Source organism: Homo sapiens, chromosome 12, assembly GCF_000001405.40.
Source record: "Homo sapiens chromosome 12, GRCh38.p14 Primary Assembly".
Lineage (NCBI taxonomy): Eukaryota > Metazoa > Chordata > Mammalia > Primates > Hominidae > Homo > Homo sapiens.
In genome coordinates, this window is record NC_000012.12 from 98,289,936 (window position 1) to 98,309,384 (window position 19,449).

The 19,449-nt window shown below is 38.6% G+C and overlaps 1 long non-coding RNA gene across 1 annotated transcript, besides 1 other annotated feature; it reads left to right on the plus strand.

Moving 5' to 3' along the window:
* Positions 1,852-2,390: an enhancer, noted in NCBI's record as "NANOG hESC enhancer chr12:98685565-98686103 (GRCh37/hg19 assembly coordinates)". NCBI's record gives its function as "activates a minimal SCP1, AML or CMV promoter by ChIP-STARR-seq in primed H9 embryonic stem cells {active_cell/tissue: H9 hESC(primed)}" and the evidence as "EXISTENCE:reporter gene assay evidence [ECO:0000049][PMID:30033119]".
* LOC105369932 (uncharacterized) lies at positions 5,106-14,790 on the plus strand. Its single transcript, XR_002957448.1, has 3 exons — positions 5,106-5,177; positions 11,345-11,559; positions 14,440-14,790. It is a non-coding gene; the product is annotated as an uncharacterized LOC105369932 (long non-coding RNA).
* Positions 14,791-19,449: the final 4,659 nt, after the last annotated feature.

Below are 19,449 nucleotides of genomic sequence, written 5' to 3' on the forward strand. Positions count from 1 at the left end.
ACCTCTGTTCTTATTTTATTGGCCAAAGCAAGTCACCAGGACAAGCCTAAGCTCAACAGGAAAGAAATGTATCATCCTCCCACAGGGAGGGAATCACAAGGAGAAGCATGAAAATATATGGTACACAGAACACACCATAGTGAGCACGCCAACATTTTTCACAAAAATTATGAAGGAATCACTGCAATACAACACTTATTTTCCAGGGCAAAATTTGTCCTGTTTCTTCGTTGAAGAGAAAAAGTGATTATCATTTTAAAAAAAATTGTTCAGATAAGTCAAACTTATTGAGTTGAAACATTAGACAATGTGACAAAAAATGAAAAATGTTATCCTCTACTAAAAAGTAAATTTTTGGTTCAAGATTACAAAGACTCAATTGTCCCCTGACTTCCTACTCAATAAGGAATGAGAGAAAATAGAATGTCCACTGTAACAGAAGACTTTAAAGATATGATCATTTATGAAAAAGAAATTTTCCAGAGAAATCTTCTAAGGGCATTTCAGCAAAAGAAGTATGTATTTTAATTTCATTTTGCATACGCAATGGAGAATCGGCTTAAGAGGCAGAGGTTAAAAAAGAGAAGTTTAAACTAGTTTTGACTATTTAGCACTGCCAAAATCAATTGCCATCTCAGACATCCTTATGATTAGTACTTCAAAATCTTGGAAGAGTTTAGAAAACTAAAAGTATTCATCTTAAGTCTCAAAAATATTATCATGTTGTGGGCAATGGTAAGAAACTCCCTAATTCTAGAACAAATTATCAATATTTAAGCCTGATCTCTTTTGTTTTTATTTGAGGAAATAAATTTTATCACAGCAGTTACTTGGGACAATTAGAGCAGGGTCACACATTAGAAGCCATATCTTTGGTTTGTTTAAATGCCACTAGTGCCTTCCTTACATAGCTTTAGGAAGTTGATGACTATTGAGACCCTGTCTATTTTATGACTATATAATAAATTCAAAATTAAATCAATGTGAGATTCCTAATGTTCAGACTTAGAAAACTATATAGAAACTTTTAGCACTGTAATCACAATAAACATCAGGAACAAAAATAAGTTCAAAAGTGTAACTCACCCACAAGCTACACATTTCAACATTTAACATTCAACTCAGCATTAAATGAACTTCAGTGCTCATTCATTCAATAAACATTGGTTGAATCCCATTAATAAGCAATTCTGTTTTATTTTTCTAGGAAATTTAACTTCAGCCACATCAGCTTTTCCCAGAGCACATTTTGTAAACTGGTAGTCCCATAGGATTTAATTGATGGTTATATGACAAATAGATAATCAAATAAGTTTGGGAAACACTGAATTAAACAAAGTAAGTTCATTTATTGAAAAGTTCTCAAAGCTATTAAAAAACCAATGAGCATCAAGAATCTCCAGGACAGGGCTGCAGCATGCAGTACTTCCAAAACTTATTTGACCACTGAATCCCCTTTTTTTTTTTTTTTTTGAGAACACCAAATAAGATTGTTGTTCCATGGAATACACTTTGAAAAGTGCTGAATTCTACTCTTCTAGATAATGCTTACATTAGGTAATTCTTGTAAATATTATCTAGAGTTGACACTGTCCTTACATTTGTTCAAAATTATTAAATCACTTCATTTAAACAGAAAATGACTAGTTAGACATTAAAGACCATCACATAGCTGATTGAACCATCATCCCCTTGAGACCAAATTTAAAGAACTACTTGACAATGTGCTCAAATAGTCCATTATCAGGTATTTATAAACAGAGGGGAAAGCAAGAAGAAAAAATTGATTGATGAATGTTTTCATTACCCATATTGTATCATATAGATGCAGGCAATGCTAACCCAATCTCAGGGGTTCCCACAATGATACTGAAACAATATCTATAAATGACAAGAAGTTGCAGTTTCCCCAGAAAACCAATTCAGCTAGAGCAGGAGTTGCTCACGTTTTGTGAGAAGGAGCCAATCTTGATCTCCCTTCAAGGCTCTAAGGAGTCAACAGGATTGAGACTCTGACAGGGAAGAATACAAAATGAGCTCAGCAGCAGCAGCCCTCTCCACTCAGTGGGAGAGAAGGAAGAGATGTCAGCCGACTTATCTTCCTTACCAGCAGGGAGCACAATACAAAAGAAAAGGTGATAGCACAGTGTCTCTAGTTAATGACGGTGTGAAATTATCAAGGCCTGCTGGCCACCAAACCAGAATACCTTCTCAATGAAGCCTACCCTGACCACCCCATTAATACGTCAACCTGCCCTTTCCCAGCTCAGGGAACTCCTACCTACCTTGTCTCACATTTTTCTACAACTCAGGTTACAACCTAACACATTGTATAATTTGCATATTTATCATGCCTAATGTTTATTGTCAGTTTCCCCCACAATTTAAGCTATATGATGGCTGCATAAATATTCATTGAATTAATGAAGAAAAATAAATGCTCAAAACTTTGGTCCCAGGAAAGTTTCACTTACATGCTTTCTGAAGATGTCCATCCCGACAGTGCCTGCCTCTGCCTGCACATTTCCCTAAGAGAGAAAAGAAGAATGGAGGAGACAGCTGAGACTTCTGCTCCTCCTCCACCACCACCACCTCCCCCCAGCCCTGACCCACTTCCATGTGCTGAAGCCATTGTCTGCTATTACCCTTACCGTTCCACTATTTACCCCCTTAATCAAAAAACATTAAAAGGACGAGGAGGACAGAAGTCCCTCTTCTGACAGTGTTCTCTAATCACCTGTGAAGTAGAACACAGTTGCAGCCTAACTCTGTTCAGTCCTCACTGGACACCCCGCATCTATACCTCCCTTCGGTCTATTCTCCACACATCAGCCAGAGTGGTCCTCTGAAACATAAGTCAGATCACATCACTTCTCAGGTCAAATGGCCCCTATTTCTCTCAAAGCAAAAACCAAAGTCTTCACAGTTGTCTACAAGACCCTATATAATCTGGCCTTCTGTTCCCTCTCAAATCTCTTTTCCAGTTACTATCCACCCCCCTACCCTCACTCCACTCCAACCTCCTCACTGTCTGTCAAACATGCTAGTGTGCTCTCAGCCCAGGGCCTTTGCACCAGCTATTTGTTGGCCTCGAATGCTCTCTTCTCAGCAAATATCCACATGGCTCACACCATCACATCCTTCAAAGTTTTGCTCAGGTGCCACCTCATCAGAGAGGCCTTCCCTAATCTCCCTACTGAATACCACAACCTTGTCCCTGGCTGTCCCCACCATGTGCTCGCTGTATCTTACCCTGCTCCATCGTCTCCTTACTTATCACACATAATTTACTTACAGCACATAACTTAGTATGTTTGTTGCCTATCTTCCCCACTAAATTATTATTATTATTATCATCATTATTATTTAGAGACGGGGTCTTACTCTGTCAACCAGGCTGGAGTGCAGTGGTGCAATCATAGCTCACTGCAGCCTTGATCTCCTGGGCTTAAGCCATCCTCCTGCCTTCGGCTCCCAAGTGGCTAAGACTACAGTCACAAGCCTAACATTTAAAAAGAGAGAGAGAGAAAGAAACTTCACCTTCAGGAAAGCAGGGAATGTTTGTAATTTTTCTTCACTTTTTCATCCCTAAGGCCTGAAATATTATCTAGCACATAGTGAATGCTCAACAAATACTTGTTGAATGAATAAAGAGTGGTTAAAACAATGGATTTTGGTTACACAGTTCTGGATTTTTATCCCACCTGTACCGTAATCTTTGGCAAATTTTGAAAGTTCTCTGAACCCCGATTTCTTCATCTGTGAGATAAGGATAACAATACCCAATTCATAGAGTGCAATGCCTTGTATATCAAATAAATGGAGGCCATTATTATGCAATGTGGACCTTCTGGAAGCAGAATATGAGAGCAAATGTGCAGTTATACATGTTGGGGTGGATTTTTGTTATGTTGGGAGATAGAAAATGAAGACAGAATGTACTCAAGTTCCCATGCAGCTCTAAGTATGTACCTGTAAAATCAACATGGATTAAGGACAAAAATGGACACAATGTAACCAAAGTGATCTCCTACGTAGTTGATCTGATAAATAATGCAGGCAACAGTAATTAAAACAGCTGACCAATTTGATGGTTTCAAGATAAAAGAGTTGCTTTATGGACTTCATAAAATATGGTCAGTACACACTATAAGGTATTTTTCTTTTAAACACTTCAGAATCAATACCTCTATAGTATCTCAAGGTTATTCAGGTTGTCTCCATTTCATGTATTCTAGAATGTCATTATTGACTTTGCACTTGACATTCTTCCCTGTGTCTGTTAGACTGGCCTTGGCAGCAAAGAAAGGCCATATGGTGCCCATCCATATGGATAGGCTGGCTGGATTTTAGAATCTTATTCCCTACTGATGTTCCTGTTGTGTGAACAGAATAACTTCTATTTAAGAGTAAAACATGTGGGATTCCAGCCTTGCATATTGTATCAGTTAGAAAATGTGCTCAATTGTGAGGAGCAGAGACCTGAAAACAGGGCTTAAACACACTAGATGTGGTACAGGGGCTCTGCAACCTCATTGTAGACTTTCCATCCCTCTTCTCTGACATCTTTGAGTTGTGACTCCTTTCCTCAAGGCTGCCTCATACATATAAAGTGGCTACTAGAACTCCAAACGGCATTTTCTCATTCCTAGTAGGAAGAAGGGAAAACACAAGGAACAAAAGGAGCATGCCAGCTGAGTCATTGCCTATTTTTAAGGAGCATTACCAGAAGACACACCCAACAACTTATGTTTGCATCTCATTGGCTAGGATTTAGTCTTATGCACCTCTCATCTTCTAGGAATCCTGGGAAATCTAGTATATTTTAGGTAAGCAAACTACTTCTCCAATAAAATCAACATTCTATATAAGAAAAAAGGTGATAGTCAATATTGAGTAGGTATCTCTCAGTATCTTCTCCAGATAAATACTTAATTTCTGCAATAGAGGAATCAAAAAATTATGAGCTATTGTCGTAGCTCACTAATGATTTTCTAGTTACTTTTGCACAAACCTGGAAATTAAAATCTTTCTATTAATTCTCCAAGTGGTGATTTAGAGAAATTATTTTCTATTAAAGAAATCTTCTTTTTTAGGAAAAGAAGATTTGGTGTCTACACTGCTAGTACTCCAGTTCAGCTTTCGCTGACCATGACTCTATTTGGCTAACTGCACAGGTAATCTCAATTGTTCCTCACTAGGCTGGGTGCGGTGGCTCACGCCCATAATCCCAGCACTTTGGGAGGCTAAGGCGGGTGGATCACTTGAGGTCAGGAGTTTGAGACCAGCCTGGCCAACATGATGAAACCCATCTCTACTAAAAATACAAAAATTAGTTGGGCCTGGTGGCACATGCCTGTAATCCCAGCTACTCGGGAGGCTGAGGCATGAGAATCATTTGAACCCAGGAGGTGGAGGTTGCAGTGAGCAGAGATTGTGCCACTGCACTCCAGCCTGGATGACAGACCAAGACTCAGTCTAAAAAAATTTAAAAATTAAAAAAAAAAATCCTCATTGAGCTCTGTAGAAAGAAATACCTCTCAGAACTTCATCATTAGAATCATCACTGCTACAGCAATGCTCCACAATCAAAAGCCCCTTGTGTGACCCAGAAGCTTGCCTGCCTCTTACCCCTACACAATACATGGTATAGAATTCATATTAGGGGAGTCATATATGTTTTGCATGTAGAAAACTCTCTAAGAATACTTTAAGAACTCACTGATTCTTTCAGGTCACCAGGGAACGATTTTGGTAATTTCACCCTAGCTAACAACTTCTGTGAGTACCATTTCAAGGACTAATTTACTAAATGGTCCCTCTGTTGCCTGAAAGAGTTACAAAGTTTCACAAAGTGTCTGACTTACTCGCATGCAGTAGCCCATGTACTAAGAAGATCTGGCTTCAAAAACACATTATAGGATTCCTGTGGTTGCTAGTTATTTTCTAATACTACTTGAGGAATGGGAAAGTATGCAAGTCAACAACTTGTTCAAATGACCAAGTGCATAGTCACTTGAGACAAAGCAATGAAAAACACATTCATGCACACACACTCCCACATTTTTCCTCTCTTCCAAGTTCAATGCTTTCCTTTTGTTCTCTAAGCAAAATAGACCCCACACCCACACAGAGAAAGGTAAGCCTTCGATTTTTGGTCTGACTTTTTTTCCTCCTTCATGGAGATGGCTCTATGGGGCTTTCAACTTGTCAGATATAATCTATTCTGGCCACACAGTCTTGAGAGAACGACAGCCACAGAATCTGTGGTGTCAGATGAAAATGTTGTAGAATGCAAGTGCAAAGCATTGCAGAGGTGATGAACATGAGGTTCTCCCTCCCTGAGAAGGAATGAACAAGATCCGGACCTGGAAGAGCAGTTGCAAAAAATGACAGGGGCCTCTGTGGACAGAGTGTAGCCCAGAGCCTCAGCTGGCCAAGTGGACAATTCCCAAAGGCTGCAAGTCCTCACATCTCTCTGTCATTCCCACTGAGACATTTTGAAAAGAAGGTCAAATAGCCCTTCATCAGGATATGCTGATTCAGACAGACAACTAAGCCGAGGTGGCTTTGGTGAACACACTATGGGATGAAATGAGTTCCCCTGTGGTCTGCTGCCCTGTTGCTGTTAAACTGAAACTAGAGAAGCTCAGAGTTGCTAAGAGATTGTCACATTGCTGTGGGAAGAATTTACACAATTGGCGCCCTCAGGCAAGTAGTGCTGAATCTGTCAGTATTCAAGACTGTGTAATTTTTTCAGCTACTTCTTTATTCCAGTCTATGTGGAGCACAGCCTTTTCTCTGCACCTTCAGAGTGAGCATTTATAGCACTGCCAGTTCTGAGGAAAGACGAAGATTGGCTACCAGAAGTGTGGATTCACGGGCTGACCCCGGGGGCAAAACTGGGAAGAAGGCAAACTGTCAGCACTAGGACTGTGGACAGCTCCAAGAATAGAGAAGGGGAAAAAATCTGCAAGGTGAGCCAGGGCAAAGGTAGAAGTAAGGAACTCTCCCTAGATATTAGAAGTCATGACACAGGTAGGGTCTGAAACTTGCTGAGCAGTTCAACTGCTGAGTTTGCACTAGGAATAAAGATCAGGATTAAATAGCAGGGCGACACCAAGGTGTAACATCAATGTTGCTCAATTTGCCCTTCCCTTTCTCTGGTAATCAGAGAATCAATATCCATAGCCCCAGCTGAGGGAGCAGGGTGATCATGTGAGTTACATACCTTTGCCACAGATCATTGGATCAGAAGAACATCTGACTCAAATGCAACCAATTCATTAGCTGACTGGAGATGCATCTGATCCACTCTCTCGAGAATTTAATATAAAAGATATACTAATTGCAGCTACTCAGATAGTGCTGGACACTAGATCTCGAAAGCCACAGAGATTAAGCACCAGTCAACACCACAACAACTCAAAGTCACATGCAATCCAGGGTCATGAAGGAGCAGAAACTAAGAGCCTTCAAAAGAAGCTGGTGTGGGAAAGAACAAAGAAGATATGCAGAGAGTGGCAAAGATGAGACACCATGTGATCCAAGAGGGAAAGGAAAATGGGTAGATTACCTGTCTGACAGCTTTCAGGTTCTCAAGAGATCTTGTGGTTATTCTTTCAGTCGGGATCTCTGAGATCTCCTACATCTTTGTAATCTAACCAGGAAATCCTAATCCTGCAAGGTCCCCCACAGTCAGCATACATCTCATTGTTGTAATTGGCCAGTTGTTCCAGATTCTTTGGACTGCAAAGGTCAGGAGACACACTCTAGGGGAAACACTGGGAAGAAGACCAACTGTCAGCACTAGGACTGTGGATAGCTGCAAGAATAGAGAGGGAAAACATCTCCCCTAAGAACGAGTGAGTTATCATACAGATACTCATGAACTCGGTTCAAGGCCAGAGAAATGTCTGGGAACCAAGACAGGTTAAGAACAAGCTGCTCTTTATCTCCTTGTCTTGCTCAGAGCCTTCACAATCTCTCTCTGATAATGTCTCTGCCCCTCTCTGCTGCCTCTCTATACCAATTGGTTTATTCTTTCCCCCCATTCTGTGTAGCTTTCCTCTACTTCAAAGCTTCTGCTCTCTCATAGCTTTTACTTTTTCATAACTTCAGCCTGTTGTGACCCCCTCATAGCCCTACCTTACCTCATAGCTTCTCGTTATAGTTTCCTTCTACTTCAGATCCCACTGCTAACTGAATTTTCAAGTTCAGCTTCAAAAAAGGGAATATGATCAGCCCTGCTCATCATTTTGCACCAGGTCATGGGCTGCTGGCCAGTCTTTGATTTGACTATTCTTAGATCAACACTCACCCCTTATACAACCAGCTCCAGTGAGTAGGGCAGGTTCACATAGTACAAAACATAGCAATTTAGGACTATCCATTCAGAAGAGGTTATGAGCGTGGCAGACAATTTGACCAACACATTTGATATTCCAACCTCTCCTTATCACAAATATGCTTAAGATATTGTCCTCTGTTTTCAAAAAAATTATGTAATAAGGCAATCTATCCTGTAATATTAGCAATTATGTTTTAATTTTTTATCTTCTTCTTTTACTTTTTGGAAGTTTCCAAATTTTCCATAAGTAATATGTCCTAATTTTACAGATATATTCAGAAATATTACATTAACTATTAAGAAAACAGATATAGCATCATTTATACAACAAATGTATGGTGTGCAACAACCATGTACCATGCTAGATGCCATAAATACAGCAGTTAACAATGAAGGATCTCTTGTCATGGAACACAGGTGATCATATAATTTGTCAGCGAAATCAGGACACTTTTGAGAGTGAAAGCATTGCTATTAATAATCAGACCAAGATAAAACTAGGACTCTGCTGAGTAAACCTGGGCAGCTAGTGAATGTTCCCATTTACGTAGGCCAGCTAACATTTTAACATTTTGAGCAGAGGACTAGCAGATATAGAGCCTTAACTCTCCTCTCACAAATTAATTTCTAAAGTAAGGAAATTCTGAGAATATGCCAGGCAAGCATTTGGGGACAGGAAGTCCTTTAAATCTCAAGATCCTCATTCTGCACTCTGGAAAACATCCACAGTCCTAGCTCAACCAAGAAGGACAAGGTAAGGGAAGAGTTGGTAAGAAGGGGAGCACACATTGATCGATCATATACCATGTGCCAGCTATGGGGTTGGGTGCTCTCCATAAGTCATAGAAATTAATCTCATGACAACTCTGTATTGTAGATATTGTTATATACCCATTCTGCTGATGAAGAAAACAAGACTCAGAGTTTACTTAACCAAGGTAGCACATCTAACATCAGGACTAAAATTGGATTCCAGCTCTAGCTAACCCCACTATATCAAGCCACCTTTCAAAAGTTAAATTTGAGATCTTAAGACACTGAACCATTATAACCTCCAGTTTCCCCTAGCAAAAATGTGATTAGTTATGAGTTTGTCATAAGAAGTCAAGTTATAGTGGTCATTTTCTTCATATGATCAGCTTCTCAGCTTACCCAAAGCAGAAATGTAGAAAATGAGCTTAACTGGATGCTGCTTCTTGGAGCATTTCTCATGGTCCTTATGTAGGTGGTATCTGAATTTGCCATGTAACTTGAAAATTAGATTTTTGAAGGCTATTAAAAGAAAAATTCTGAAGAGTGTGGTTAGCCCAGGGGAAAACACCCAAGATGCTAAAAAGCATTTGCAACTAATTTCCTATCAATTGAAACAAAAGAGAGTAATTCTATTGATACCAGATCTGTTAATTAAAGAGATACGTCAAATCTGTTTTCACAAATACCGTCGTAACTCAAATCTCTATTCACTTTAATGGGATTTGGCCTGCACCAACTCTTTCAAAGCATGAAAGTGGAGTAAAGTAGATTTTGCTAGGATGGTTTTACTATCTTTGTTTTGGTTTTTCCAATAAGTATAGCCTGTATGTATTATGTACATATAGTCTATTTGTCAAAAAAAAAAAAGGTATTCTGATCAAACACAAGTGGGGAGAAAAAGTCTCTTGAAATAAAATCACCTGTGAGATGTTTTTCACCACCCTGTTAGCAAAATTCATTTGCAGACTAACAGTCAAAGAATGTCAAAAATGTAAAAACTGCATGGAAAAGCATATTGTCTCTGTGATTTGTTTTATCTCTGCTTCAGATCACAATCATACATTTTGGACAAAATGTCTTTGGAGAAGCCGCATTGAAGATATTGCAACTGGAAGACCCTTCTGAAATAGAAAATCTCTATTTATCCTAAGGTCTCTCTTGAAACAAAAGAGCTTCCTAGCAACATATTTTGGAAATGCTGAAATTAAAGTTCAGGCTTATGTCCTTATGTACTTAAAATATGAGAGATGAGAAGATAAAAGAATAGAGTGCTGAGGAATGAAACTTTCTTTTAAGGCGTGAATGTTTGGGCTCGGTACATAAATAGAAAGGGTAATTTCATTTAAAGAAAAAGAAAAATGAAATCCCTTTGTCTCACATAAGTAAATGATGTATCTGTTCCAGAACTTGCACAGCTCTTTACCTTTAGATCTCAAGCTGCAATTCAAACCAGTATTTTAAAATACTCAGGGTCTTTATTCTCCCCTTCAGTTTCTTCCATTAGCAGGGAAATGCAATCTTCTTTCATGTGGAGTAGCTGATAACAAAAAGTGGCTAGCACAAGAATGCCCCCACTGAATTCACAGTTGGCTTTGCAGAGCTGAATTACACAGAAATAAAGGCAACTACTTACTGTCTCACTGAATTATGGATTTTAGAAAACTGTTTAATAAGGAGGAAAACACTTAAGACAGCTTCTATTGAATTTGGCACACACAGAAAACTAACGAAACCAGAACTGATAACAGATTTTGTAGGGAAAGTTAAATTCTAATTTTATGATAGTGTAGAAGCCAAGATATCTTCACAAGGACAGATCCCACAATAACTTTTATGTTAGTAATCTTGGAGGTGTGTGAAATTATATTTTTAAGTGGTCAATCTTTCTTTACCTGCAACTTTAGATTAAAAACTTTTGATACTTCTCTGTCCTTTATTAGGCTGCCAGATTTATAGAAATAAGAAACCCTTCAAACTTTTGCCACTTCCTCTCCTTCAGTTGTTCAATAGTTCAGCAGACTGGATTATCGTCAGAATCAGATTGTAAATCCCTCACCAGATGGTAAACTTCTTAAGACTTTTGTCTTAAAATGTATTCATCTTTACGGAGCACTTAGTAAAGTTACAGGAACAAAGCAGGGTCTTAGAAAATGTTTTTTAATTGATTTGAATGTATACAACAGATTCAAAAACTCACAAGAATTTTTGTGTTTGTCATTTTTTAATTGTGCATTCATTTAGATTTGCTGATAGCTCACCAGTTATCAGCTACTCTGCTAAATGAATAGAATGAACCAGACACAGTCTTCACGCTGTGGCAGCTCTCAGTCTAATGTCAGGGAGGCAAGCAAGTGAACCAGACAGAACAATACTGTGCGATGAGCATCAAACATGTTGAAAGAACATGACAGAAGCATATGCTCATTCAAAGGAGGAGCCGGAGCTTCTAGTAAAAGGTAATATCTAAACTGAAACTGTAAGCACATCATGGAACAAAGAGGGGGAAGGAGGTTCTAGGCAAAGGGAAAAGCATACTGCCAGCGTCAAGACATAAGAGGAAAACCATGTATTGGGAAACTGCAAACAGTTCAGTGAGGGGGGAGTCTAGAGTGCTCTGTAGGCAGGGACGGGACTTTGGAGTGCTTAGGGTACCATGTTAACTCAGTCTTTACAGGCAACTTTGGAATACTAATAATGGTGGTACTTCCGTGTGCTTGTCCATTGCCAAATGTTCGGACTTATCCAAGCTCTCATGATGGAGCTATTACTAGGGGCAAAGAAAAAAGAGAATATGCTTTTAAATAAGGTAAAATAATTCAAAATAATGCTTTTAGTTTAATGGTTTTAGCATATAGACACAAGCACATTATATACTTCTTTTCCTACTTCCACTCTTTCTCCTTTCCCCTCCCTTAATCTTTGCTAGATTCTGATCCCAAGTATATGAAGTTATCATATGAAAGTGAATAGTGAGGGGAGGGGTGTGGAAGTTGAGCAGGAATAGGTATAAGAGGATATCAATTTTGAAGATAATTGTGCACAGGAGTCTTCCCTTATGAGCCCCCAAGCTATTAAAAATAATTAAACCTTTCTGTTCTATATGTTGAATCTACATAGAACTAACTTTTCAGTAAGCTTTTGACTAATCGTGAAACATTTTAACAGTATTGCTTTTTTATCAAACTGAATATATTCAAAATAGGCCTTTGCTGTGAACTAAATAAAGTGAAATCACCTTTCTGGTGAGCAATTGAACAAAATATAGCAAAACTTTAAAACTTTTTATACCTTTTATCCCAAAATCTTACCTCTAGGAAGCTACCTTAAGAAATAAACAAAAGACATGCACAAAGATTTGACTAAACATTATCATGTTTCGATGATCATCATGGCGATGACTAAACAACATCAAAAAATATTCCCATCATGACCAGCTTCAATCTACCAACATAAAGTCATTGAATGCTGAGTTGAGAAGAGATACACATATTGGCTCCAGCACACCAGCAAAAAGGAAACACACAGAGCTCTCGCTCCAATTTCTGTTTTAGAAACAGCACACACACACACACACACACACACACACACACACAACCCATCACTTCATTCACAGCTCATTGGCCAGAATTACTGGCATGGCTTTGCCTAGCTGCAACAGGATCCAGAAGGAAGAAACTGGATATTGGTGAGCACGGCAATGTTCTCCACAAAGCACTATCCTTGGGCTTCCTCTTTCATGCCTGACAAGTCCATCATACAATTTTCTTAAACAAAAATTATCCTCTCCCTAAAATAAATTCTACCACTAGCTTCAAAATAATGATTTATTTTTACCTGTTATGTATATGATACACAGATATGAAGGAAAAAATTAAATTATTTCCAGGTAGATGGGTTTAGAAATTTTATTTTCTTTTTATTAAGTTGTATTTCCTAATTTTACCATGATAAACATGGATTGTTTTTATAATAACTTTTTTATGTTTAATATGTATGTGTATTTATTTATACACATATTATGTATACATGATAAACAAACTTTTATAAATATGTTTTCCTTGCATAGTTCCTGCAAATTCTTCTTATTTTAACTCTAAGAAGAACCAGAAGGCAGAATACAGAAACATTTAGTTATCAGTTTTCTGGTCATTCCCAGAACTCATGTCAATCTACCTTTATGGTTTCTCTCCCATTTTGTCTTAAAAACCTTGTTTGGCATTGACTGGCATAGTTAGTTCAAATCTAGATAATATTATATATTTCCCTTTACTCCAGTCAAATACTACAGCCTCCTCTCAATAACTGTGCCTCAGGCAAACCTGACCAGTGTCCTCTAAACTCCTCCCATACCCACCAGTTAATGTTGAAAAACAGAAATATGAAAATTATTCAAGGAAAAATTTTTCTGACTTCTTCCATTAAATTGTCTGAAGAAAAAAAATACTGTAATGAAAAAAAAATTTGACAGCCAATTCTTTGATTTTCACTTTCCATCTCATTTCCATGGTCTAAAATTTAATCCTCAGGATACACAAGGGAGGTTTTCTCCATCTCTGAAAACCCAAGAGCTGAGAGGATTGTTCAACTGGAAAAAATTACCCTAAATGAGCAAAGTATAGAAATGTACTTATAAAATCTAAAGTTCCAAATAAATAGGAGGTATTATTACTACATTTCAGTACATCCAATACTGCAGTTTGTACTCAGTATACATGAGTTTTCTAGAAAGAAGTGTTACTTGTGCGTGCACACACACACGTCTATTTATTTTAATATCATCCCTCCACATAGTGCCTTTGCTATTTATTGTCTGCAGTATTGGAATAATTGGAAGAATAAAGATTTGCATCTTTATCTTTAACCTGGAATAAGTTAATTGTAATCTCTCTTCATTGTTGACTTGTAACTTAAGTTTATTTTCAAAGTGGATGCTAAAATAAATACATAAATCCATTTTTTTGAAGGTAAGAATAAAGCATGGCAAGAAAATTTATAAACACTTTAGAAGATGTTTGACACAATTTTATTACCTCTGCAACATTCCCTTACATGTCAGGTACCCATATCCCAGCACTGGGTGTTTTGTCAGATAATGGAGGAATATTCATTGAATTGAAAAGAGCTGGAGTATGACATTAGATTACAACTTTTATATCCAAGAGAAGTACATAAGAGCAATGCCTTTTCTTCTTTTTATCTGCTTCCCCTTTCCCTTCAGGCAAAAATATAAATGAAAAATACCTTCTACGTTCAATCAAATACCAAAGATAAAATGCCCGATTGCTTGCTTGACTGCTTACAATGGAGGTCTAACAAATGTTAATCTATTTCTGCAGCCAACAGAGAGGGGCAGCTGGAAAGAGGAGAAGAGGATTAGAAGAGCTTTTCCTCAGTGGCATTTTTGAGACTTCAAAATGCTCTTAGAAGCTACTTAACAACAAAATCAGTTGATCCCATTGTTGCAGCTCAGAATTCTGTTTCAGTATATCGCAGCTGAGTAAGGAAGCTAAGGCGCTGGAGTGGTATTAATGCATCACCCATGGATATGTCCAAAAGCTCTTAATTATAGCACCTTAAAGAAGTCTTACAAAAATCCTCCAGCCTTCCACAAGACCTGGGTCTCCTGGGGCCAGGACCACCAAAGAGAAAATAAAATCCCAGATCTCTGAGGGTCTCACCAAGTTGTATTTCTGGAACTTCATCTCGCTCCACTTCCACCCACCCACCCCTACTCTAATTTCAAGCCCCCTTTATGGTGGAAGTGTGTGTAGAGATCCTCTTCCCATCCTCATGGGGCGTGAATGGCTCCCTGTTGTGCTGCTACAGTTTCTGGTCTCATTCCTTTGATGCAACCATCAGTGCCAAGCTTTGAACATTAACACCTGTGACCCACCACTGCCTCCACTGAGGGGTCAGATGCTGCCCAGCAGCTGGAGAGGAGGAGGAAAAAGAGGTGGAATGTGAGAGGAAGCATCCTTTCTCCCTCCCTTCCTGCTATGGTTAATTTTATGTGTCAAGTTGTCTAGGTCATGATACCTAGTTGTTCGTCCCCTCCAAATCACGTGTTGAAATGTAATGCCCTGGTGGGAGGCGTTTGGATCACGGGGACAGATCCCTCATGAATGGCTCAGCACCATCCCCTTGGTGATGAGTGAGTTCTCACTCTGGTAGTTCACAAGAGATCTGGTTGTTTAAAAGAGTGTGTCACCTCCCCCAGCCCTTGCTCCCTCTCTTGCCTTGTGATACACTGGCTCCTCTTCACCTTCCACCATGATTGGAAGCTTCTTGAGGCCCCTATCAGAAGCAGATGCCAGCACCATTCTTCCTGCACAGCCTGCAGAACTGTGAGCTAAAATAAACCTTTTCTTATAAATTACCCAGACTCAGGTATTTATTTATAGTAACACAAGAATGGACTAACACAGTATTATTCAAAGGTGATTAACATTTAAATCAGTCCTTTTTGAGTAAAGCAGCTTACCCATTATTATGTGGGTAGTCTTTATCCAATCAGTTCAAGGCATTAAGAAAAAAGACTGAGGTTCCCCCAAAGAGGAAGGAATTCTGCCTCCATATGGCCTTCAGATTGCGATAGACAACACTGACTCTTGCTGGAATGTCCAGCCTGCCAGCTTGCCCTACAAATTTCAGAGTGAACAGTCCCACAGTTGGATGAGCCAATTCCTTAACATAAATCTCTCTCTCCTCTATTTCTCTCTCTCTTATAGTCTCGCTGATAGATAGATAGATAGATAGATAGATAGATAGATAGACAGACAGACAAATAGATGGATAGTCATGTGTCATTTAATGACAGGAATACATTATGAGAAGTGTTTTGCTAGGCAATTTCATCTTTGTGTGGACATCACACAGTGTTATATTTACACAAACCTAGATTGGTCCAGCCTACTACATTCTGAGGCTATGTGTATAGCCTATTACTCCTAGGCTACAAACCTGTACAGCATGTGACTACTGAATACTGTAGCCATTGTAACACAGTGATTAGTATTTGCATGTCTAAACATAGAAAAAGATACAGTAAAATATAGTATAGTTTTTTTTAAACAGTATACCTGTATAGGGCACTTACCATGAATGGAGCTTGCAGGCCTGGAAGTTGCTCTGGTTGAGTCAGTGAGTGGTGAGTGAATGTGAAGGCCTAGGACAAAGCTGTATACTACTGTACTGTAGAATTCATAAACATTGTACACTTAGGCAACACTGAATTTACGTTTTTAATTTTTCTTTCTTCAATAGTAAATTAACATGAGCTTACTGTAATTTTTTTACTTTATAAGCTTTTTTTAACTTTTTGACTCTTTCATAATAAAACTTAGCTTAAAACACAAACACATTGTACAGCTATATACCATTTTTTGTATCTTTATTCTATATGCTTTCTTATTTTCAATTTTTTCTTTGCTTTTTAATTTTTTTGTTAAAAACTAAAACACAAAAACATACATTTGCCTAGGCCTACACAAGGTCAGGGTCGTCAATAGCCTTCTCTTCCACCTCAAAATATCATTCCACTGGAAGGTCTTCAGGGGCAATAACACGCATGGAGCTGTCATCGCCTATGATAAAAATGCCTTCTCCTGAAATACCTCCTGAAGGGCTTGCCTGAGGCTGTTTTACAGTTAACTTTTATGTTATATAAGTAGAAGGAGTACTCTAAAATAACAGTAAAAACGATAATATAATAAGTAAATAAATCAGTAACATAGTCATTTTATTATCATTATCAAGTATTATGTACTGTATATAACCATAAGCGCTATACTTTTATATGACTGACAGCTCAGTAGTTTCTTTACACAAACAACTCCACAAACATATGGGTAACACATTGTGCTCTGACATTACAAGGGCTACAGCATCATTAGGTGATAGGAATTTTTCAGCTCCATGATAAGCCAATAATAGAACCACCATCAATATGCAGTCTATTGTTGACTGAAACATCATTCTACAGAACTTTGTGTGTGTGTGTGTGTGTGTGTGTGCGTGCGTGTGTGTGTGTGTGTGTGTGTACTGGTTCTGACTCTCTAGAAAACCCTTACTAACACACTTTCCCAGCAGTCAAAACTTTCCACTCCTCATGAGACAGCCCATAGGGTCTAAAAAGTGGAGCTGCATGCTCAAGATCCCAACCCCTTCAATGAAGGCATCATCCAACCCTTCACGGGTATAGGTTGTGAAGCCCAATCTTATGACTGGACTCTGAGTAATTTTCAGGGCTTTTTACACTGACCCACACCCTAAAGTTTGAAAGAAAATAAGTAGCTAAAGAACATTCCCTTCTTCCCACATTCTGCCTCAGACCCAAAAAGGACCAGGGGATTTTGCCCGGTCTCCCAACCCAAGAGGATACTTTCCTTCTCTCTCTCCCCTCGGTCCCGGCTGCTGAGGAGAAATAACTTTCTGGTTAGTGAGAACTTGGAATTCAGCAGACATATGTCTGTATCCACCCTACACTTCATGATGATTGAGCCTTGACACAGACAGGGGTTTTCTTCAAGATTACAAACAGGGAAGAGATCTCCCATGGGCATTATAAGACCAAAATGTGCATCATTCCATTTCTCTGTTTGCCACTGATCTGGAGTTTGGACAGGAGAACAGTCTCAAATTCTACCTTGAGGCTTTCCATTGTTGCTGGCTCCTTAGTCTGAAAGCCAAGTCTTTCTTTGTAAGCATAAATCAAACTCTAGTGTTATCTTCCAAATTGTTCATTAGTAATTCAGAGGCATAGCTCTCTAAACAAAGATGAGTCTTCCTGGCCTATACCCTTTCCATGTGAATTTAATGTGCTTTATTGCCCTTCATCTTGTATGGGTCAAAACCAGTGTCTCATATTTCTTACCTTTCCCATTCTCTCTTGATCATTTTTTTGTTGTTGGTTTAGTCTCTCCAGTATGCAATTGACCTGAATTATTTCAACAACTGCATTTTCCTTCCATTTCACATTTGCTCTAGAAACCAAACCTCAATATATTTAATGTCCATTCACTATATTTTACGGATTTCTTCTCTTATATCACAAGTTCATGGACAATCTGAGGAAGCTTGAATTACAAGTAGCCAATTGGCCTATCTACCTCATTTATATTTATTATCTTTATTCACATACACAGGGCACCAAATTTCTCTGGAAAATCAGCTGTGCTACTTCTAAGGTACAAAAAAAATGTGTAAGATTGTCTGAGAGATTTAAAGCTGTCGTCGTAGTAACTGGGAAATTACCACCTACAACCACTCCACTGAGGCCTGAAACTCAGTTAATTACCACTGCTTAATTAATCCAAGAGTCTCTCTCACTGAATGCCCAGCTGGGTTGTGAAAATAATCACTAAATAACCCAAAGGTCTTCCAGAAGCCAGGAGAACAGCACTTTGGCCTGCCTGTAGAGGCAGAGATCCCTCTGGTCTCCTTCTGGTTCACTGGAAAGCTGGTTACCACTAAGGAGAAAGGAAAGGTTAAAGATCTCTGAACAAAAGAGATTCACATACAAACGAGGCAATCTCTAGAATGTGAGCCACATTTCCTGGAGAAAGCGCAACATCCCATGCTCGTGAAGAAGAAAGAAAGATCTGCAGATAAATAGCAAGTACCTTAGCTCCAGAAAGAAAAGATAGCCTAAAAAATTACCCTGGTGATATGTATGGAGGTGCCCCAATCAGCTAAAAGTATAGTTTCTGACCAACAAGGCAAACAGTTTTTAAGAATGCAAGATAGAGAGATAGGCTGAGTTCAAATTCTAACTCGCCATTCACCTGATGGGTCATCTTCCTGAGCTTAACTAAGCTTCAGTGTCTTTATCTGTTAAGTGAGAGTCATCTTAGAATTGTGTTGAGGATTAAATGAGATCATCTAAATTAAGTACTTAACTAAACATCTACCACATAGTAAATTCTTCATAAATGTTATAACTGATTATTATATATGAAGAATCCCATTAACAGTTATCTTATGCTCCAACCACTCCGAACAGCTGCTGAATAATTTGGAAGCAATTGTGACATCAGAAAAAGTCTTGGATTTTGAGATACTGGACAAAAAAAAAAAAACTGAAGGAACTGTGGATAGCATTCTTGTATTTAATCCCTGGGAAAGGTAAGAAATTTGAAAGACAAAAGAGGAATGAGAGTCCAGGAAATGAATTGCAAGTATTATTAGATGGGGACAGAGAATGGAGTTTGCCATCCTGAATGGTTGTTCAAATTCTCAGAACAACAGACCCACCTGGCTAGGGAAAAGTTCGTCTATATAAGAACCCACTGTCTGTCAACAGGAGAAAGAATAAACAAATGTTATAGTCACATAATGAAATACTCTTC